We start from the raw sequence: 23,572 nt of genomic DNA, 5'->3' as shown, positions 1-23,572 counted from the left end.
CAGAAGAGAGTGAGGGCCAATATTCAACATTCTTAAAGAAAAGAATTTTCAACCCAGAATTTCATATCCAGTGAAACAAAGCTTCATAAATGAAGAAGAAACAAAACCCTTCACAGACAAGCAAATGCTGAGAGATTTTGTCACCACCAGGCCTGCTTTACAAGAGCTCCTGAAGGAAGCACTAAACATGGAAAGGAACAACCAGTACCACCCACCGCAAAAACATGCCAAATTGTAACAACCATCGATGCTAGGAAGAAACTGCATCAACTAATGAGCAAAATAACCAGCTAACATCATAAGGACAGGATCAAATTCACACATAATAATATTAACCTTAAAGGTAAATGGGCTAAATACTCCAATTAAAAGACACAGACTGACAAATTGGAAAAAGAGTCAAGACCCATCAGTGTGCTGTATTCAGGAGATACATCTTATGTACAGAGACACACATAGGCTCAAAATAAAGGGATGGAGGAAGATCTACCCAGAAAATGGAAAACAAAAAAAGGCAGGGGTTGCAATCCTAGTCTCTGATAAAACAGACTTTAAACCCACAAAGATCAACAGAGACAAAGATAACCATTACATAATGGTAAAGGAATCAATTCAACAAGAAGAGCTAACTATCCTAAATATATATGCACCCAATACAGGAGCACCCAGATTCATAAAGCAAGTCCTTAGAGACCTACAAAGAGACTTAGACTCCAAAACAATAATAACAGGAGAATTTAACGCCCCCTGCCAACGTTAGACAGATTGACGAGACAGAAAGTTAACAAGGATATCCAGGAATTGAACTCAGCTCTGCACCAAGCAGAACTAACAGACATCTACAGAACTCTCCACCTCAAATCAACAGAATATACCTTCTTCTCAGCACCACATCGCACTTATTCCAAAATTGACCAAATAGTTGGAAGTAAAGCACTCCTTAGCAAATGTAAAAGAACAGAAATTAAAGCAAACTGTCTCTCAGACCCCAGTGCAATCAAACTAGGCCTGAGGATTAAGAAACTCACTCAAAACCACTCAACTACATAGAAACTGAACAACCTATTCCTGAATAACTACTGGGAGCATAAGGAAATGAAGGCAGAAATAAAGATGCTCATGGAAACTAATGAGAACAAAGACACAACATACCAGAATTTCTGGGACATATTTAAAGCAGTGTGTAGAGGGAAATTTATAGCACTAAATGCCCACAAGAGAAAGCAGGAAAGATCTAAAATTGACAATGTAACATAACAATTAAAAGAACTAGAGAAGCAACAGCAAACACATTCAAAAGCTAGCAGAAGGCAAGAAATTACTATGATCAGAGCACAACTGAAGGAGATAGAGACACAAAAAAAACCCTTCAAAAAATCAATGAATCCAGGAGCTGGTTTTTTGAAAAGATCAACAAAATTGATAGACCGCTAGCAAGACTAATAAAGAAGAAAAGAGACAACAATCAAATAGACAATAAAAATGATAAAGGGGATATCACCACCAATCTCACAGAAATACAAACTACCATCAGAGAATACTATAAACACCTCTACACAAATAAACTAGAAAATCTAGAAGAAATTGATAAATTCCTGGACACATACACCCTCCCAAGACTAAACCAGGAAGAAGTTCAATCCCTGAATAGACCAATAACAGGCTCTGAAATTGAGGCAATAATTAGTAGCTTACCAACCAAAAAAAGACCAGGACCAGATGGATTCACAGCCAAATTCCAACAGAGGTACAAAGAGGAGCTGGTATCATTCCTTCTGAAACTATTCCAATCAATAGAAAAAGAGGGAATCCTCCCTAACTCATTTTATGAGGCCAGCATCATCCTGATACCAAAGCCTGGCAGAGCACAACAAAAAAAGAGAATTTTAGACCAATATCCCTGATGAACATCAATGCAAAAATCCTCAATAAAATACTGGCAAACCGAATCCAGCAGCACATCAAAAAGCTTATCCACCATGATCAAGTGGGCTTCATCCCTGGGATGCAAGGCTATTTCAACATATGCAAATCAATAAACGTAATCCAGCATATAAACAGAACCAAAGACAAAAACCACATGATTATCTCAATAGATGCAGAAAAGGCCTTCGACAAAATTCAACAACCCTTCATGCTAAAAACTCTCAATAAACTAGGTAGTGATGGGACATATCTCAAAATAATAAGAGCTATTTATGACAAACCCACAGCCAATATCATTCTGAATGGGCAAAAACTGGAAGCATTCCCTTTGAAAACTGGCACAAGACAGAGATGCCCTCTCTCACAACTCCTATTCAACATAGTGTTGGAAGTTCTGGCCAGGGCAATCAGGCAGGAGAAAGAAATAAAGGGTATTCAATTAGGAAAACAGGAAGTCAAATTGTCTCTGTCTGCAGATGACATGATTGTATATTTAGAAAACCCCACCATCTCAGCCCAAAATCTTCTTAAGCTGATAAGCAGCTTCAGCAAAGTCTCAGGATACAAAATCAATGTGCAAAAATCACAAGCATTCCTATACACCAATAACAGAGAAAACAGAGAGCCAAACCAAGAGTAAACTCCCATTCACAATTGCTTCAAAGAGAATAAAATACCTAAGAATCCAACTTACAAGGGATGTGAAGGACCTCTTCAAGGAGAACTACAAACCACTGCTCAATGAAATAAAAGAGGATACAAGCAAATGGAAGAACATTCCATTCTCATGGATAGGAAGAATCAATATAATGAAAATGGCCATACTGCCCAAGGTAATTTATAGATTCAATGCCATCCCCATCAACCTACCAATGGCTTTCTTCATAGAATTGGAAAAAACTACTTTAAAGTTCATATGGAACCAAAAAGAGCCCACATTGCCAAGACAATCCCAAGCCAAAAGAACAAAGCTGGAGGCATCACGCTACCTGACTTCAAATTATACTACAAGGCTACAGTAACCAAAACAGCATGGTACTGGTACCAAAACAGAGATATAGACCAATGGAACAGAACAGAGCCCTCAGAAATAATACCACACATCTACAACCATCTGATCTTTGACAAACCTGACAAAAACAAGCAATGGGGAAAGGATTCCCTATTTAATAAATGGTGCTGGGAAAACTGGCTAGACATATGTAGAATGCTGAAATTGGATCCCTTCCTTACGCCTTATACAAAAATTAATTCAAGATGAATCAAAGACTTAAATGTTAGACCTAAAACCATAAAAACCCTAGAAGAAATCCTAGGCAATACCATTCAGGACATAGGCATGGGCAAGGACTTCATGTCTAAAACACCAAAAGCAATGGCAACAAAAGGCAAAATTGACAAATGGGATTTAATTAAACTAAAGAGCTTCTGCACAGCAAAAGAAACTACCATCAGAGTGAACAGGCAACCTACAGAATGGGAGAAAATTTTTACAATCTACTCATCTGATAAAGGGCTAATATCCAGAATCTGCAAAGAACTTAAACAAATTTACAAGAAAAAAATCAAACAACCCCATCAAAAAGTGGGCGAAGGATGTGAACAGACACTTCTCAAAAGAAGACATTTATGCAGCCAAAAGACACATGAAAAAATGCTCATCATCACTGGCCATCAGAGAAATGCAAATCAAAACCACAATGAGATATCATCTCACACCAGTTAGAATGGCAATCATTAAAAAGTCAGGAAACAACAGGTGCTGGAGAGGATGTGGAGAAATGGGAAAACTTTTACACTGTTGGTGGGACTGTAAACTAGTTCAACCATTGTGGAAGACAGTGTGGCGATTCCTCAAGGATCTAGAACTAGAAATGCCATTTGACCCAGCCATCCCATTACTGGCTATATACCCAAAGGATTATAAATCATGCTGCTATAAAGACACATGCACACGTATGTTTATTGCGGCACTATTCACAATAGCAAAGACTTGGAACCAACCCAAATGTCCATCAATGATAGACTGGATTAAGAAAATGTGGCACATATACACCATGGAATACTATGCAGCCATAAAAAAGGATGAGTTCATGTCCTTTGTAGGGACATGGGTGAAACTGGAAACCATCATTCTGAGCAAACTATCACTAGGACCGAAAACCAAATACCGCATGTTCTCACTCATAGGTGGGAATTGAACAATGAGAACACTTGGACACAGGATGGGGAACATCACACACTGGGGCCTGTCGTGGGGTGGGGAGATGGGGGAGGGATAGCATCAGGAGATATACCTAATGTAAATGACGAGTTAATGGGTGCAGCACACCAACATGGCACATGTATACATATGTAACAAACCTGCATGTTGTGTACATGTACCCTAGAACTTAAAGTATAATAAAAAAATTCTAAAAAAATCAAAATGGGAAAATACATATATACAAGGATATGCAGTGAATATTTTCTTAAATAACAACAAAGTTAGAAACTTCCTTAATGCTAGAAAATAAGGGATTGTTATATAAAGTATGGAGCAATCATAAAATTGAATACAGTGCAGCCATTACAAATAATGATGCAGAGATATACCTATTAATGTAGAAAGAATTTTTTATTACTAAGTGAAAAAAGTTAGTTCCACTTGCTTAGGATGCTCATACTTTTGTTATGTGTGTGAGTGTTTATAGACACATTCACACAGAACACAACAGAAAAATGTATACAAAATTAATACAACCTTATGTACAAGGTAGAAAGAGTGGTTTTGTCCATTCAGACTGCTGTATCAAAGTACCAGAGACCGGGTGGCTAATAAACAGCAGGAATTTATTTTGGAAGCCCAAGATCAGGGTTCCAGAAGGATCAGATTCTTGGTGACGGTCCTCTTCTGAGTTGCATCCTGCCATCTTCTTGCTGTGTCCTCACATGGTGGAAGGAGAGAGAGAACGCACTCTGGACTCTGTTTTATAAGGACACTAATTCCATTCAGGAGGGCCTCACCCCCAAGACCTAATTACCTCCCAAAGTCTCCACTTTCTTAATACCATCACATTAGGGGTTATGATTTCAACACATAAATTTACTGGGTGGTGGGGAAGGGGGTGGGCACACAAATACTTAGTCCATAACATTCTGCCCCAACCCTCCAAAAATCATGTCCTTCTTGCATGCAAAATATATTTATCCCATCCCAGCAACTGCAAAAGTGTTCTAGCATCAACTCTAAAGTCTAAAATCCAATTTCCCACCCAAATCTCATCTAAATCAGATATGGGTGAAACTCAATGTATGACTTATTTTGAGGCAAAATTCCTCTCCAGCTGTGAGCTTGTGAAATTAAACAAGTTTTGTGCTTCCAAAATACAGTGGTGGGACAGGCATAGGCAAGACATTTCCATTCCAAAAGAGAGAAATAGGAAAGAAGGAAGGGGTGATGGGTTCCAAGCAAGTCCAAACCTAGCAAGGCAAATTGCATGAGATTTTAAAGCTTAAGACTAATCCTCTTTGGTGCCATACTCTGCTCTCCAACCCCTCTTGGGAAGAAGTTCTGCCTATCAGAGAGACTGGGGTGACAACATTAGGGGACACACTGCCCACACCCTGGCTCTTTGCAGCAGCCCTCCCCATGCCATTACTGTTTGTCACACTTAAAGCGTTCTGCACCTCTGCCCCCACAGCTCAGCTGGGTGTTGGTTCCTACCCTTTGAAATTGAGGTGGAAGCAGCCCTGCCCCCTGGCACAGGAATTACTTTTCCTTTTGCTATTCTGTATTTTCTAATTTTTCATCAATGCATACAAATTTCTCATGTAATGAAAATTTTAATATTTAAGACACATTAGAAATAACAAAAGGATAGCTAGTTTCCTCAGAAAAGTTCTAAGAAAGAATTCCTTTCATCAGTGAATGAAAAGTAAATGAATTCTTATCAGGAAAAACGTTTTCTTTTACTACTTCCCTGAAAAGCAGAAAGGTTTGGAAAACACTGATATGTCTGATGAGGATCGCTGACCACTTTCTGTCTTGTTCAGCCATTTATTAAATAGCCCACTTGATCCATTCAACCACTGATCCTACAGCAGTGGAGAGGTCATGCTGAGGCTGAAGGCTGTGTGGCTATGTTGTCTTCCGGGGCACCACTGATCAGTGGGTCAGAACTGTGTTGGACAAGCTTGTATCGAGTTGGCACATTCCAGGGAATGCTTCTCAGTGTGAATAATCTCAAAGTTTGCTTTGTTATGATACCCAAAAGTGATACAACCCTGGGAAAACTTCTACTTACTAGAATTTATCCCAAACTACAAGAGATGCAGACAACTAATTGGTTGATTTATAACGAGAAACCCAGCCAAGCAGAGCAGAACGCTGCAGTCATTAGAACAGTACATGCTTCCCCTTAGACACATTATATAACAGGGCAAGTGACAGGGTTAGACAAGAGTTTCAGAAAGCAAATTCTGACAGCTATGCAGGATAAATTAGAGCGGTGTCCATATGTCCCAGTTTGCCTGGGTCCTTGTTGATGCCTGCTTTCTAAATGTAATGTTTAATAATATCCTGTTCCACTCTCAAAAGTGTCCTGGTTTCGTTGACAAATTATATGTCATCCTAATTGGAGAAGACAGTAGTGGGACCTGGGAAATGAGTTGCTAGAAGACCATTAAAAAATCCACTGAAGAAACAATGAGAGCCTAAACCTATGCTGCAGAAGTGAAAATAGAAAGAAAGAGATGAATTGGTGTGAAGCAAAATCTAGGTGGTAGAACATCAGTGATTGCTCTTTGCGGAGGAATGCCCCTCTGACCAAGTTCAGAACCTCTGGTAGGGGATCAGCTTGCAACCAAAAACTAGTCAATGTGGGGATTCCAAAGCCCAGAGCATCCTGTGGGATCAGCTGAGGTCTTTGCTGTGACTCTATTTCAACTCAACTTCTCCACAGACCCGTCCTGCTTCCTTCACTCCTAAGAGATGTTGACTCCAAGAGCAATCCCCATTTAACCTTCTGCACACACATCTCTCTCTTAGAGTCTGCTTCCTGGGGAACCTGACCTACAACTGCCATCATGTTAGAACAAAAATAGGACATAATTTGGTCCCTTTTCATTATGAAAATGAATTATGATAGGTGTTTAAGAGTACCTGGTGACAGAAAATGTTCAGAAAATGTTAAGAACAATATATCATAATGTGTACATCATTTCCAGTGCTAGATTTGGCATCTGACTGCCAACCAGATGAGTCTGAGCAAGATAAACAATACAAAAGTAGAGGCGGCCACATTTATTTTCTCGTCTAATTCTGAAAAAAAATCATACCATATAGCTCCATCAAAATGATCCAAACTGAACAACACTTATGAACTGTAACTCCCAGTAAGTATATTTCTATTTGAGCACTAAAATACTCAAAATGCTATGTCCCACTGCCTCATCTTTGCAGTTTCAGGATAGGGTTTCAAATGCCACTGTCAGAAATACAAAGAGATGAGAATTGGTTTTACCTCAGTCATTCAAAAATGAATGCACTGCTATAAATGCCTGATACAAACTGCTCCACAAACTTAAAATGGAATTATAATCACATCACTTTTATTTATCCAATTAATCTCTGGAGCTCCACCCTCACTATCATCACCACTAACCACCTGACCCCACCTCCTTTACTCAGAGAAGAAAAACTTAGGGATACCCTCCTCTTCTTGAATTGAAACAAGTCTAGCTAAACTGCCTATCCCACCAAGGTGAAATGGGGACTCCAAGGAGTCCATGATGCTTTTGCTTCTCTCTCCCATGGGATCACTGATAGAAACAGATCTGAAATCATCCTGACAGAGGCTATCATGCAAATAAAAAATCAACAGTGTCAAAGCCTCATTCAATTCATTAATGAGTAAGCTGGTTACAAGGTCATCTGAGAAATGTGGGATGCTTGGGATTTGACATTTTGAATGTTAGAATAAGGCCCTAGGTTGGATACAAAACTGGTAATGTCCTAGAGCTGGGGTACCCAACACTGCCCCCCGACCTTGGCCACAGATGGATACTGATCCATGGCCTATTGGCCACCAGGCTGCACAGCAGGAGGTGAACAGTGAATGAGCCAGCATTACCACCTGAGCTCCACCTCCTGTCAGATCAGCGGCAGCATTAGATTCTCATAGGAGCATGAACCCTATTATGAACTGCACATGCAAGAGATCTAGACCGCATGCTCCTTAGGAGAATCTAACTCATACCTGATGATCTGAGGTGGCACTGTTTCATCCCAAAAACATTCCTCCTTCCCTTATCCACGGAAAAATTGTCTTCCACAAAACCAGTCTCTGGTGCCAAAAAGGTCGGGGATGGCTGTCCTACAGGGTATCATCACATAACCTCTAGGGTTACCTTTTCTACAAGACAAACCCATTTGAATCTGTACCAAACAAAACATATACCAATGAAAGTAAAATTTCACAGAATCTGGGCCTTAACTGGTAGAAGATTAGCAAATTAAAACAAAGTCTACTCCCCTAGATAATGAAGTAACCTTGGGTGGCCCTCCTAAGCAATGCTCTAACATAACATTGAAAGACCATGCTTTCCTCTCTTTAAATCCGAGTTTCAGACATTTGTCAATAGGTGTGTGGCTGACCCAGAGCCCTGCACAAACCGCACAGATTCACAGGCATGAAAATCCAGCCCCTTAGGGCTGACCTCAGTCCAGAGAACCCCATGCTCAGGATCCCAAATTCTTAACAGCTCATCTTTTCCTCTTTACATTCCCATCCCCATTCAGAGAACCAGCGCACCCAAGGAACATTGTGTCAGGATTAGTTCTAGCATCACATCTCATAAACCTGGAACCTTTGCCTTTTGATCCTCCCAAAAATTAATCCAAGGAAGCGAGTCGCTTTTCTTTTCAACTCAAAAGATCAGGCTACTCCATTTCCCTGGATAATAGAGCTATATGTGCTACATTGACTCCTGTTGGAAGCTTCCCATCAGTCAGGGTTAGTCACCTCTTCCCTTCTTGTGTGTGGGGTGGAGTGTGGCTGCCATTAGTGATTCCAAAATGATTTTCCTGGCACCCCTCCCACTAGAAAGAAAAGGGAAAAAACTAATCTCTTGAGGCATATGCTGCCCTCTGATTCTTCATTAGCATATAAGGGACCAAGAAAGAGAAATGCAAAGCCAAAGGAGAAAGGACTTCTGGGCCAGCAAGACTTACTTGTAACTGAAGTGATCAATACACACTACAAACTTCCTGAATTCACCAAACCTCCCTAATGCTGCTATGATGTGTCTGATACATGTTCATTTCTGGGTAACTACCCTCTAACATACATATGTTGAGTTTAAGTTTCTAGAAGTCAATTATGTTTTTTTCAAAATATTTAAATTAAGTGATTTAATTACTCAGTAAACCGATGAAATATGAGTGTTAAAAATAGTTGTTTCTATTGAATTTAAAGTTTTGGAAAAACTAAAAAAGTTGATTGGGATGAAAGTAAACTGCTATCAAATTAAGTGCAAATAAGAAAAGCCTGAAGCGAGGGGGAAATCACAAAAATCTGGGAAAACTCTGCCCTCAGATTGCTTTATAAGTCACCTTAAATGATTGTAACGCACACATCCCTGGAAGTCGTAAAGATTACATAATGGGTATAATTTATGAAATCCAAACTAAGAATCAATGAAAATGTGATATGGTGGTTCTATATCAAAAGATTAGTGGATGAATTTACATCGAAAACTATTAATTTTTAAAAATGTAAGTGTGTATGCATCATTTTAAACCATTTTTTAGTTTAGCCAATTCTGTTGTTTAATCCACCATCTTCTGCTTTTAATCTCTGCAGAGTAGAGGGGATAGAATGGGTCAAACCAAACAGGATCTTTAGTCACCTGTGGAAAAAGACAAGGAAGAGCATCAGAGCCCACCGTGAGCAGTGCTAGTCTGAGCAATGTCCAGGGGAAAACGTTTTATCATGGCTCAAAGATGTATCTGATGGGTCCTATGACCAAGGGTACCCTCACGTAGGAAATGGACACAACAGTCCGTTAAGCTTGATGCCATTTCATTTTGAAATCAAACAGCCAATCCTCCAGATTCTGATTTCACAACTGCAGGTAAACTGCTCATGTAGGCCTACAAGAATACTGTGCGCATGCTAACATAAATGTTCTGCTCAGTGAGGATTGTAATTCCCATTGTGGATTAATAAATTGTACATTAAACCCATGTAAGCTTTGCTACACTGAGTCAACATCACTGAGCCAAATCAACTCTGGTACACTGAGACCTCAGTTTTTGAAACTGAAATACTGTAAGCCAGTCTCTAGGACACTAGTGAATTTACCAAGGTAAATGTCATAGTGTGAATACCCATATGGGCAACCTGCTAGTCCTCTTGTTTTGATGTGCCGAGTATAACTGTGCCCTTTCCATTTAGAAACATCTGCATTATTCTTTCTCTCTGTGTACCTCTCTCTCTCTCTGTTTCTATCTCTCTCTCTCTCACACACACACACACACTCCAAATAGTTTCATCTAAATACATCTTTCTTCCTTAACCTAGATCACATTTAGTTTTGCCACTCCTAGGGTTTATTTCACACTGAGCTTTGTGTTGCACTCATAGCAACACTTATACAATCCCCCGATCCCCTGCATAATCATGAGCTACTCACAGGCACATCTAGGTTTCATACATCTTTCCCATCCCTCATTCCATTGAGCACCATAGCCTAAACATGAAGATCTGAATGCAGTGAAGTCGGTCCTAGAAATAGTTTATTTTTTTCTCCTCTATGCTTATAATTCCATGAATAATGGAAATTAGGAGAAAAGGAATATGAAATACATATTCATATATCTAATTTATAAACCTGGAGATTCTGGTATTCTTATTCCACATCCTAAAGACAAATGTGTTCTTTAATACTACAATTTTCAGTTTATTTTCCTCCCAATAACACCAAAATAGCTTAATTTCTTGTTTGGAAAAACAAAAGGTTTGATTTTTCCAACAATCTCCTATATCATTTCTGCCTAAATTGTGTCAGCATAACTTTCTCTGGCTAATAATACCATTTAACTTAGCAAAGACATAAAATTACTCACACCTAACACAGTGCCCTTAAGGTAGACTTTTGCTTATTTCTGCTTGGAAGAAATGGTCCAAAGGGACACTGACCCTTTAAAATCTGTGGCTATTAAAGAGTCCCCTATTGCAAGAGAACAGAGGGTCTTGGGTCACTTTTATGGGCCTAGCACTTCAGCTATTTATTGTAATGCAATTACCATACGAACTCAACCATTACAAGATGCCAGGTCTGCTTCTTATTAGAATTTTAAAATAGCAGAGAACTTTGGAAAACCTGAATCTTTTCAGGAAAGCAAAAATTCACAGGAAGCAATAATGCCTTCATTCTCCCTTCACCCTTCTTGCTGCTGTTTCCAGGTTGCAAGTCAATTATTTTGGCAAGGAAACTCAGCAGGAAACAATTTGACCTTCTAAGAACACCACTAGAATTATGTTATCAGCAGATTTCTTTCCCAGGACACCATCTTTGGTTTGTACAAACTACATACAATAAGCAGGTCTTTTCCAGAATCTTTCTTATGCTCAAACTGCAAACTGGATTGAACTCTACACCCTGTCCCATTCAGTAAATCTTCATGGGGATATATTGCAAGGTCAACAGCCAAAACTCTTTTGGTCCATCTAAGCCACCAAACCAGCCACAGAGAAAGGAAACCGACTAACTAGATGCAAGTTAACACTGAAGAGACTTAGACTGCAAATAAAATGTTGGGAGGTATGTACATTTTTCAGCTGATGGTATAACTCAAGAAGAAATAAACAAAGACCATGACCATAAAAACTTTTCACTGGTCTATCTTCCCATTTTTATCTATTCCTTCAACGTATACATTGTGTTTTGAGTTTTTAACATTTGTTGATATGCATATGCTTAAATTTAGAAAGCTAACTGAATTCTTAACATGTAATTCTCAATTATAAATGCTATTTGGTGGGAGTTTGGGGATTCTAAGTGTCTCCCTGAGGAAATGGCTCATTCCTGGGCTGAGTCACAGAAAGAACAAGATGAGCCTGGGGCATCTTTTCCTTGTGCCAGAAAATAAGAAAATAGTCAATGAATGATGGGAAAATGTCATGAAGGGGCTACCACCATTTAAACTGTAGAAAAATTGAGCATCAAATGAAGAATGAAAGTGTCAAATGACAACTCATTAAATAAAATAGAAATCTATGATTACATGATATTAAACCTTGCTTTACAATAAAATGGCAACTAAAAAATGTAGAAAAAGTGCTGAAAATGGAGAGTCATCATTTGGCAGTCATCATAGAAGCAAAAGGATATTGGCATAATCTTGGAATACCTCCCACAAAATTATAACTAAGCACAAAAGAAAAACTGGTGGAGAAACTTGACAGATGCCAACATAACCAGGTGATGAAGGTTCATGTCATTAGTGGTGGGATGCATCAAGAGAGTGCCCCCTGAGGTGATACCCTGAGAAGGGCATTATTTCTGTCATGTTCCTGCAAGAAAACATGACCTAAGAATGGTGGCAAGAAAACATCAGACAGCTGAGAGCACCCTTTGAAATGAAAGGGCTTCATACTTTAAACCCATCAAGAACACGGAAAAAAGAAACCCCAAGGAACTTTTTCAGACTGGAGGAGGCCTGAAAATCAAATGTCCTTTATGTGCCCTGATGGGATCCTAGACCAGAGAAGAAAAGAAGGTGGGGGAGAGACAGAGAGAGAGAGAGAGAAGAGGAGAGAGAGCGAGCAAGGTGGGGGAGGTGGGAGAGAGAGTGAGCTGGGTGAGGGACATGGGTGAGAAAAGAATCCAGTGCAATAGAGAAAATGCAATAAAATGTTATCAGTTGGGGAGTCTGATGATGGGGATATAGGAGTTCTTTGTAAAACTTCTGGCAAGTTTTCTGTGAGTTTGAAATTATTTCAAAATAAATTATTCTTAGAGAGAAAAGTACTTTTGCTACTGTGACATGCTAATCACTAAATATTATTTGCAAGCATACATATGATTGACAAGGAAAGAGAAGCAACCACCATCAACATCTCCCAGCTCTAATCCCAATATGCGCTCCATTGCATTTTATATTTTCCTAGTATATAGGTCAGTGGTTCATTAGCAGTTAACCTTCAACAGGTTGAGTAACTTAAAGGTTCCATACCAAGGAAGGAATTTAGCTGAAACCAGTTAGTAAGCTCACGACCTGTGAATTTTTAGCTCTAAAAATATCGCTGCACTAGCATCCCTTGTTAAAAAAAGTAGCCCAATCTATAAATGGTTAAGAGGCTACTTCACACTCTTGTTATTTACTCCAGCAAGCTTTAGAGAGATTTCTATGCTGCAGCTAGTCTGATGCATTAAGTGCAAATTGGTGGCAGGGCCAGGACTAGAGTGAGGTGCTCAGGATGCAAAATTTAAGAAAACATTTGCTCTCAGGGTGCCCTATCCACCTCACTTCCATCCTGACCCAGACTCCCAGAGATTCTCATGCATTCAGGTATGGGCCTCAGGCATCCTTTCTGGTCATAATTACCCCAGATGATTTTGATAATCAGCCAGAGTTTGGGTCTATTTGTCCAGCCCAGTGGTTCTCAAGTGCAGTCGTAGACCAGCAGCAGTAGCATCACCTGAGAGCTTGTTAGACTTGCAAATTCTCAGCCCCATCCTAGACCTGCTGAATCCAAAACCCTGGAGAGTGGGACCAGAAATCTGTGTTAACAAGCCCTTCAGGTGACTCTGGTGCACATTAAAGTCTAAGAAACACTGATCTGGCCTAGATTTAGCATAAAAATATGCTGAAGCGCAGACAGGGTTGATCAAGGTAAGTTTGTTTGTGGTACACATAGGTAGAAGGAGAATGGAAGTCTTTTGAAAAGAGGTGAAGATAACCTCAACAAAGAGTTGAACAGAGCTTCTCAGAAAATTAGTTATTTCAATGGAGATCTGAAAAAAGCAGAGTGGATATTAAATTCTATGCCAAATAGCTTCTCATATTTAATAAAATTCAAAGGTAATTGGGTCAGTATATTCAACACATAGTTTTCCCTCGAGAGGAGCAAATTAATTCATTCCCCCTTTTTGTCCATAGATAGAATTATCTGCCAAAGACTTACAAGCTACTCAGTAGCAGCCAAGTCTAGATTACAGATGAATGCGTCATCCACCAGGTATTATTGATTCTTTCAATGACTCTTATAAACTGGAATCTTCTTCAATAGGACTAACCCTTCAGTGGAATGATACTGTGGAGAATTATCTGATTAACTGTGCTGCGATGGTTATGTAGGAATGCATTTATCAGCTAGCCCTTGTGTGTCACATCGGCTGGCTCAACCCTACCTGTTCTTCCAGCCACTGCTATATTGACTAGCCCTACATGCTTCGGTCATCTCTGCACAGGTATAACCTGAGAACACCTCGAGTCAGCAGTTTGGAAATGTAGGGAATTTGCTACCATAAACTACCTTTGGCCAAAGAAATATGGAACACAAATTCAGTTCACCTCTGGCCCCAAGACACCACTATAGGCTCATCATTTTATATTCATATGAAAATCTATTAAGCCCCACACAAATATGTTCAGAAAGCAAAAAAAACCCAATCAGAAGCATGGGAAGATCCAGGTTTTATGGAGTCTGCAGTTTATATAATTTGGAGAGTAGGGGCTTTTTAAAAACAAATGCAAAACTAAACAAATGTTTGTTTAAGATGACAAAATAAGTCACGACAAGTTACTGGCACTTTGGAGATCCAGGTGCCTTTCCCATGAGACCCTCTGGACAATCAGTCAGAAACGCTTACATTGAAGCTTCCTGGGGGAGCCTGACTTTCCCTCTCCCACTCTACAGCTCCCAGCACTCACAAGGGTCTAGGCAAGAGAAGAGCTCAGAAGCTCAAGCTTCATTAGCTTTATGGTCACTCTGCCTCTGCTTTGAAGACAATTCCAGCTGCAGCCTCTTGTACTATAATACAGAAGGAAGGCGTTATCTGCAGGTGGAAGGTATCCAGGCAAGGAAGGGCTGGAGACATTCCTGTGCAGGAGCAGGATAGGTCTCACATAGCACAGCAGACAAAAACCTGGGGATCTGTCACTGGTCTTCTACTACTAGGTGCTCTGGGAAATGTGCCTCCAACTTCACAGACGAGCAGTGATAGGAAACTGCTCCTTTTGCCTTGGCCCTCAGCAGAAATATTATGGTTTCCAAGGCAGGACACTTCTTCACTGTGCAGAACTACCTTATGCAAGGCAGGACATTTGCATCTCTGGACCCACTCAGTCACTGTAACTGAAAAAGCCCCCCACACTGCAAATGCCCAAGGTGTGTCAGTACTATCCACAATTTAGTACAGCTACTAAGAAGCTAAGGGCTCAAACAGCAAAAGCATAATGACCCTTGGAGTCAGCTTGAGATGTGGATTCAGTGTGATTTCCAGAGACTAAGCATCCCTGGAGTTCAGAAAAGCCTTTCTACTACTGCTTATTGATCGCTGTGACATAGTCCCAAATTCTTTTACCCCACTGTTATAAGTCAGGCCAAAATATAAATATGACTGAGAAAGGTAACACATTGACTTGACTTCTGTCATCTTCAAGTATAATCTCAGTGACTCACAAAATTTAATGTGCATAAGAACTAACTAGGAGCTTGTTAAGAAATGCCAATTCCTGAGTCTCACTCCCAGAGGTCAGTAGCTTCAGAATGAGACCTAGGAATTGACATTTTTCATAACAGCTCCAGGTTGTTCTGATGAAAGTTATTCCAGACCATATTTCAAGAACCATTACTTTGATGTTTTAATATAAATTAGTTTCAATAATAATTGTCAATAATTCTCATTTATTGAGCACATATGCACTCATAAAAGAGGTGCATGTTATTGCCACCAATTTGGAGCTGAAATTGAAATTTACATATGTCTGACTGTAAAGCACTGTCAACAATTATATTGCCTCAAATATTTTATTAATTTGGTAGGGGGGGGGGGTGGCAAAAAGAGAGAAATTTGCAGTAAGGGCAGAGAGGGACCTCAGAGAAGAGAAAGAAAATAAAAAGTGCCAGAAACAAATTTGGCTGACCTTAAACTCTTCTTACAATCAGCTTTATTTATCTCAAACTGAAAAAATAAACAGGAGCTATAAGCAGAGAAGATTTTATGACCTTTTTTGTTGAGCATAAATGCAACTTCAGGGCAACCTTGGGTTGTCGTAATTAGTTTCTTTGGATAGTTCAGGTAATTAAACCCCCTGGAGAGGGTCTATGGGATTTCAGGATGAAGTGAGGCATAATATAGAAAGTCCACTGCATGGTTTCGACAGTTTTTTGTTGCAGTTTTTTCCAACTGGGGAGTGAGGAAGAACGAAAACTGTCAGATTATGTCACAAGCAGAAATTCAATCATAATTTGCCCTTATCTTGTTTAGATCTCTTCTGAGGCATTAAAGCACTGTCCCTGCATTATTTTATAGCAGGATTAGAGTAATTCTCTGCATCTTAAAAATTGACCTCATCCATTGCCTTATAACAATTGAGTGGGAAAACACATTCCTTTCCTATTTGTAGACTTGGTTTGTATTAAAATGATTGCTAATATTTATTGAGCACTTATTATGTGCCAACTGTTCTTCCTAATAATTTATACATAATGCCTCCTTTAATCCTAACAACACTCAATGATTACTTTTTTTTTTTTCCCAGACAGAGTCTTGCTCTGTTGCCCAGGCTCGAGAGCAGTGACATGATTATCATGGCTCACTGCAGCCTCAACCTCCCCAGGCTGAGGTGATTCTCACATCTCAGCCTCCTGAGTAGCTGGGACTACAGGCACACACCATTGTGCCTGGCTAATTTTTTATTATTATTTTTTGTGAAGACAGGGGTTTCGCCATGTTACCCAGGCTGTCTTGAACTCCTGCGCTCAAGCGATCCACCTGCCTCGGCCTCCCAAAGTGCTGTGATTACCACCATGAGCCACTGCTTCTGGTATAGGCTTCCATTTTATAGAAGAGAAAACCAAGGCTCAAAGGAGTGAGTAATTTCCTAAGCTACACAGCTACCCACAGAAGTAAATTTAAAATCCCAACCTGGCTTTGTCCTACTCCAGAACCTGGTGGGGGCAGCTACTGCACAAGACCTCCCACCTAGAGGACCCTCTGGAAACAGCAATGAGAGCTGATGGGCTAGAAGCCTGCAACCTGGTATGGAGGTTGCAAATGCAGGTGTAGAATAGAACCTTGGGATCTGAGCCAAATATTCATCCTCCTAAAATTATCTGTACCTCAAAAGATGTCCTGATGTGCAAGCTCACAAAGGAGGATACCAGTGAGTTTTATGCTCTGTGCCATAACCCTCTACCACCAAGTAGTGAATAAGCAGGTTTCTGACTATACTAAAGGCCTATCTTCATTAGGACTCTTGGTTGCAGGAGACAAAATCCCACCTTGATGTAGCTTAGGCAGAACCAAAGGAATTTATTAAAAGAGCACTGATCTTTCTCACATCAGCAAACTGCAGCACAGGCGCAGAAATAACTGGGCCTTGGGAACTGTGAAAGCCAGAGAAATAGATGCCATTAAAATGCATACTCCCACTCTATTTCTCTCTCTCTCTCTCTCTCTCTCCTTTCCTCTCCTCTCTCCCTCTCTCTGGTTTTGGCTAGGTCTCTCTCTTCACATCCTCCTACTGCAGACCAGAGGAAGGCACATAGCCATTATCAGTGCCCAAGAATATATCTTGCAATGGCCACCACCAAGAGAGAATAATTCACATTTTTTCTTGACCCAATTCAAAAATTCCTAAGATGTCATCCAGTTGGCCCAAAATGGGCCAGGAATCTAACCCTGGATCAGTCAGCTGTAGCCAGTGTAGATACACAGCCACCGAAGGCCATCCCCTCGGTGTGGGCACTGTCCCAAGAAAGGAGAGAAACACTTGAATTGGGCAGTTACTCCTTTGTATTTTGCTACGAGGCTGATTGTAATTAATTATTTAACACCGAGCAGCTGATATTTAATTCTAATAAGTTTTATCATTACATGGTGGCCTCATTGATTATTAATAAACAAAAAATAATTAATAAAAACTGTAATGGTACACCAATACCAGGAAAGTGCCCTGGCTTCCTGTATAAATGTATGTTAGTGGGGCTTCTGCTCTGTCTAGTTCAAGTGAATAGAGATCCTTTTCTAGATGATCCTCATGAACAGAACTGCAGTGACATATGTGCTACCTGTATGTATTACTCTCACCTGAGCTAACTACACCTGGAGACTTTCTTCCCCCCTAAATGATGCAAATGATGGCTAGATTATGCTGTTAATAATTTAAAAATAAGATGAAAAATAATAATTGGGGAGGAAAGGGAATGTGACTGAGTGAGCTAGGTAATGACATCTATTTCCAAAATAAGAGATATCTGAACTAATAGTGTGGCCAAAGAAGGAATTAATGATAATTGTTAATGTTTATTCATCTTTCATGGATCACTTAGGCATCATATTATCCAAAAAGCTCTCCCTGACCCGCTAACTCTGGGTTGGGTTGGTTTCTCTTATTATCTTATATAGCACATATCTTACTATATTTTGGTTGCCTCTTGATCTGTCTGTATCCCTCACTGGCCTTTAGGTCCTGTGTTAGGGCCTTATATTGGCAAGGGCCACATACATACATTTCACCATTGTATACCTAGTGCTTAACACAATGCCTGGCACATAGAAAGCACTCAAAAAACATCTGTTAGGTTATAAGCTATATAAAGTTAATGTAAGTTAACTTCAGGGCTCAGCAAGGAACACCATACATTTAGTGGCACTGCTAATACCCATTTCCAAGCTCTCATTCTCCCAGGAAACCTTCCCCTATCCATAAAATTTATGGGGTAATTGAGCAAGAGTAAAGTGAGTATGCTGTGCACACACATATTATGGAATGTAGCAGATTTATAAGAATTCTACCTTAGAAGTCTTAGGAAGTCAAAGAAGGGAGATGTAATGTCTATAAATGTCTTTGGAGCCTCTGGTTAATTGGGCTTACGGTCCTCTCCTTTCAAACTGCCAAGTCAAGAGATGAATACATTCTAACCTTTTAGTTGATATGTCTTTTTTCTGCTTTGCCCTAGTGACCTCACAGTACTCAGAGGCACAACACTCTGGAGAGGATGTCCTAATGCAATAAAGAATTTTCAGAGAGCAAGTGACTGCTACAATTCCATGGGTAGAGAGGGCAAGAGAGGCTGCTTGTTAATGCCAAACAGGAAAGTCATCAAAATTCTTTCTCTTCTGCCCTCCAGGGAAACAGCCCACTGCTAACCACCAAGTTTTGCAAGATATTCTTTTGTTTCTTGAAAATTTATTATTCCCCCCATCAGCAGCTCTAGCTGAAGTAATCTCAATTCTCTTAACCTTTCTTTAGAAGGTCTATTTAATCCATTTTTATTGCTCTCCTCTGAGCACTCACTAAGTTTGTTAGACTTTATTCAATCTTGAATTGGACAAAGTACTTTAATAAGGGTTGCCTCCCACTGCTCCAGGAACAGGCAAAGGTAATGTCCTGATGGGGCACTGGCATAGGATATTGCATGTGGAAGCACTTTTGGAACTCTTAAGCAGCCCCCAAATGGAGCAGATGATGATTAGACTGCACATCTCAGACTGAGCTCCTCATTCCCAAAAAGAATGAAAAAGAAATGATTGTACCATTTATTCATGTGTACCTTCAACAAAAATGTATTGTGCAATCACTTTGTGCAAGATACTGTACTAGGCACTTAGGATATAATGATAAATAAGATATGGCCTCTATTCAGTAGAATATAAAGGCATTGGTATACCCCCCCCAAAAAAAATTTTTGATTGTAGACCCAGAAATATTCCAGATGTTTTTGCATATATCATGTCATTCAAGCTTGTCATATAACAAGCCCATTTGGAAGGTATTTTTATTCCTAGTACACAGAAGAAGAAACTGAAGCACACCTATCTAGAGTTGTGCTAAAGAAAAACAAACATAAATTTATTTAGCCAAATTGGAGTTTTACTGCTCTGCCTTATGTCTTCCTACCTGCTTGTAGGATGACACCTGTGCCTAAAGCATCTTCAAGCTACTTCCCACAGTGAAGGGCATCCCCAACCCACATTTCTCCACACTGTAGGGCAGGTCAGGGTTCCTCCCGCACCATCCACTGAAAAAAGTTCTGGAACAGCTAAATCTCTGCTTTCAACATTCTGCTAACACTGCTGATCTTCTTGCAGGTTAGGAAATCCAGTGCCCTAAAGAAATACAGACTTAGGCTAAAGAGCTGGATCTCTGGCTTACACAGATGTTCCTGAAACGTTGAGCATGTTGTCTAACCTCTCTGTGTCTCATTGTCCCCATTTGTAAAATTGAGACAATTGTACCTACTTCACTCTGCTGTTGTGATGATTAATTGAATGCTTCTTACAATGCCTGGGTGTTCAATGAATGTTAGTTGTCAGTAGCGGTGCTGCTGCTGCTGTTGTTATGACAGCACTACTAAATTAGACAAACCAAAGACATAGACAAACTCCAGCCATTTTTGGCATCATTCTCGAAAAGAGACTATGTCAAAGACTTTACCTATTTCCTCTAAGAATCTTGTCTGAATTGGAATAAATAGTCACCAGATTCTTGTGGTCCAAACATTCCCAAATATAAACTCACTGAATGTGGCCAAGACTGGCCAGCTATTTATCAAAGTGTTTCCTTCCTCCTGGGCACTTGGCTAGACTGTATTTCCCAGGTGCTCTTGCAGTTAGCTTCTTAGGTGTGACCATGTGCCTCAGCTCTCATCAGTACAAAGGGGTAGGAAGCAGTTTAGGCTTCTTGCAGGCCCAGAATGATCAAACCCTCCCAAAAGTAATTCTTCTGTCTCTGTATTAGTTATCTACTTCTGTATAACAAATCACCCTAAAACTTAGCAGCTTAAAACAACAAACATTTATTATCTTACACAATTTCTGATAGGAATCTGGGGGTGTTTTTCCTCAATGTTTTTGGCTCAGGGTTTCTCCTAAGGTTGCAGTCAAGCCATCAACTGGGGCTGCAGTTATTTGAAGGCTGATTGAAGTTAGAGGGTCCATTTCCAAGGTAGGATACTCACGTGGCTGTTGGCAGGAGGCCTCATTTCCTTGCTGGTAATTGGCAAAGACCTCAGTTCCTCATGATGTGGGCCTCTCCACATGGCTTCCTGAATCTTTTTGTGACATGGCAGCTGGCTTCCTCCAAAGTTAGCAACCTGAGACAAAGAAAGAGAGAGAGAGAGAGAGAGAGAGAGAAAGCAGGAAGCTTTTTAGGATCTAGTCTCCAAAGATTGTTCTTCCATTTTTTTTCTATTCAGTAGAGGCAAGTCGCTAAGTACATCCACACTAAAAGGGAAGGAAATAAGGTTCGATCTCCGCAAGTGCATATGAGGTATGCACACATAGAAAGGTCACAGATAATACGTGATCATTTTAAAACCATCATATTCTTCATCACCATCAGACAGGTAAATAGGGTGAACTACAAGGAATTATATAATATAATATGGGGAAGCATCGAGATGGAAGGAGCCCAGATTCTTGAGTGACCTCTTGGAGTAGTGTCTCCCATCCACATGAGACTCTGTTATGAGTAAGAAATAAATTTTGATTATGTTAAACCACTGAGTTTGGGGAAGTTTTGCTACAGCAATTAGTCTTCCCTGACTAATTCACTACATTACAAAGAATGGAGCATATTTGTTTTCCAGTCATATTTTGGTAAAAGCATTTCATAGTATGCAAATATTAGCCAATTACCGTATTTACAAAATTAATATGCGAGCAAGATTTTTTAATTCAATCATGTAGATTATACTTATTACCCTTCTTGCTATTATGAACCCAACCTTCCCTTTCTGTTTCACAAAGCACCAAAGGATAGAGTCCTCAACAGACACTTTTTTCACTCGCTCAGATGTTTGTTGAATGAAGGCGTAAATAAATGCTAATTTCGATGAGAGAAGAAGCTTTTGTAAGGGGAAGCAAAGAAGAGCCCTGTATGTAGAGGAGATATACCTAAACAAGAGAATGTAGTTTTGATAGGTACCATCAAGATAAAGTCACAGCAGAATGCGGCAAACTGCATTCTCTCTGCAGGCATACAGAGGTGCTGCAGTGCCCCAGGTCCTAAGGTCATACTGGTCTTCAGCTCTTCCCACCACGTCCAGTTTTTGCATTCTCACCCTCTGCCTTATTGAGTAATTTTCCCCAAATACTTCAGTTCAACTGACTTCAAAGCTCTATATGTTCCTTCCATGGGCCTTGGAATACAGAAAACATATTGGCTCCTAGAGTGACTCTGCCAATAAAGAGAAGACTTTCTTCTATCCAGCTGCCCTGCTCAGTTCTCTACCCTTTGAAGTGAGAGCTTGTAGAAATTTTGGTTGCTTCAAACTTGGATTTGCAACTTTAAAGCAGCAGCTTCCTTCATTTACTGATGTTTTGCAGACTTAAAAACCTGTCATTGATTTTTTTTGGAAGAAAACAGTACAGTTTTATCAAAGCATTTTTTAAGTGTGAAAAGAAAATAACATCATTATCCAACAGACAAATAAAAATGTATTCTCTACCATTCCAAGGTAAAAAGTCTTAATCTTTGTGATAGATTGTATTAATAGCAATACTACACACCCCTCTGTATCTATTCTCTTATCCTGTAGATCAGAGCCATCTATTATCAAAACATAATAAATGACTGCTTTTATTTTATTTTATTTTATTTTACTTTATCTTATTTTTTGAGATGGGGGTCTTGCTCTGTCACCCAGGCTGGAGTGCAGTGGCATGTTCACAGCTCACTGCAACCTTGACCTCTCGGGTTCAGGTGATCCTACCACCTCACCATCTTTAGTAGCCTGGACTACAGGCATGCACCACCAGCCCAGCTGATTTTTGTATTTTTTGTAGAGACAGGGTTTCCCCACGTTTCTCAGGCTGGTCTTGAACTCCCAGACTCAGGCAACCCACCTGCCTTGGTTGGCCTCCCAACATGCTAGGATTACAGACGTGAGCCACCGCGCCTGGCCTGATTGTTATTTTAGGCATTGAGTTTGGGGATAGTTTGTTATAGCAATAGTGAAGTGATACAGAAATTGGTGCTGGAAAGTGGATGCTGCTGTAACAAAAACTTAAATTATGAGACACTGGCTTTAGAACTAGATGGTGCATGAGGCTGAGAAAATGGCAAGAAAAGTGTTAAAGCTGGAAAAATGGTTAGAAAACTTACAGGAGGCTAGAGACATAGTAAGAAAACTTACAGGAGGCTTGTATTATATAGATGTGAAATATTTGGTTGAACTGTCATTTATGGTAACTTGGAAGATAGAAAATGTATCTAATAAACTTTTGAATTTGTCCAAGTAAATCTTCAGACAGAATATTGGAAGCATCAGCTTGTTTTTAGCTGTCTATGAGCAGAAGTTACTATAAAAGAGAGATAAACTCAAGCATGAACTAGCAAATTTGAAAACAGAACTGAGAGGGAACATGGCTCAGAAATGCAGGAAGCTGTTACTCAAAGTAAAATGCATTCTCATATTTAGACTTT

The 23,572-nt window shown here is 39.8% G+C and overlaps 2 long non-coding RNA genes across 3 annotated transcripts in view, besides 1 other annotated feature; one reads left to right on the top strand and one right to left on the bottom strand.

Moving 5' to 3' along the window:
* LINC01375 (long intergenic non-protein coding RNA 1375) overlaps nucleotides 1-20,386 on the top strand; it is a 41,885-nt gene extending 21,499 nt beyond the window's left edge. The window contains exon 4 of the long non-coding RNA NR_110655.1: nucleotides 19,104-20,386. This is a non-coding gene — a long non-coding RNA (long intergenic non-protein coding RNA 1375). The remainder of the gene's footprint in view (nucleotides 1-19,103) is intronic.
* Nucleotides 13,715-14,914: an enhancer, noted in NCBI's record as "P300/CBP strongly-dependent group 1 enhancer chr10:91680718-91681917 (GRCh37/hg19 assembly coordinates)". NCBI's record gives its function as "activates an origin of replication core promoter dependent on BRD2, BRD4, P300/CBP, MED14 and CDK7 cofactors, with strong dependence on P300/CBP, by STARR-seq in HCT116 cells {active_cell/tissue: HCT116}" and the evidence as "EXISTENCE:reporter gene assay evidence [ECO:0000049][PMID:35650434]".
* A 532-nt stretch (nucleotides 20,387-20,918) lies between the features above and the next one.
* The window catches only part of LINC01374 (long intergenic non-protein coding RNA 1374), a 61,051-nt gene continuing 58,397 nt past the window's right edge, over nucleotides 20,919-23,572 (bottom strand). For both annotated transcript variants that reach the window (NR_149080.1, NR_149079.1), the window contains exon 2: nucleotides 20,919-21,239. This is a non-coding gene — a long non-coding RNA (long intergenic non-protein coding RNA 1374). The remainder of the gene's footprint in view (nucleotides 21,240-23,572) is intronic.

The sequence above is a fragment of the Homo sapiens genome, chromosome 10 (genome assembly GCF_000001405.40).
Source record: "Homo sapiens chromosome 10, GRCh38.p14 Primary Assembly".
Taxonomy (NCBI): domain Eukaryota; kingdom Metazoa; phylum Chordata; class Mammalia; order Primates; family Hominidae; genus Homo; species Homo sapiens.
This window is presented reverse-complemented; position numbering and strand designations above follow the sequence as displayed.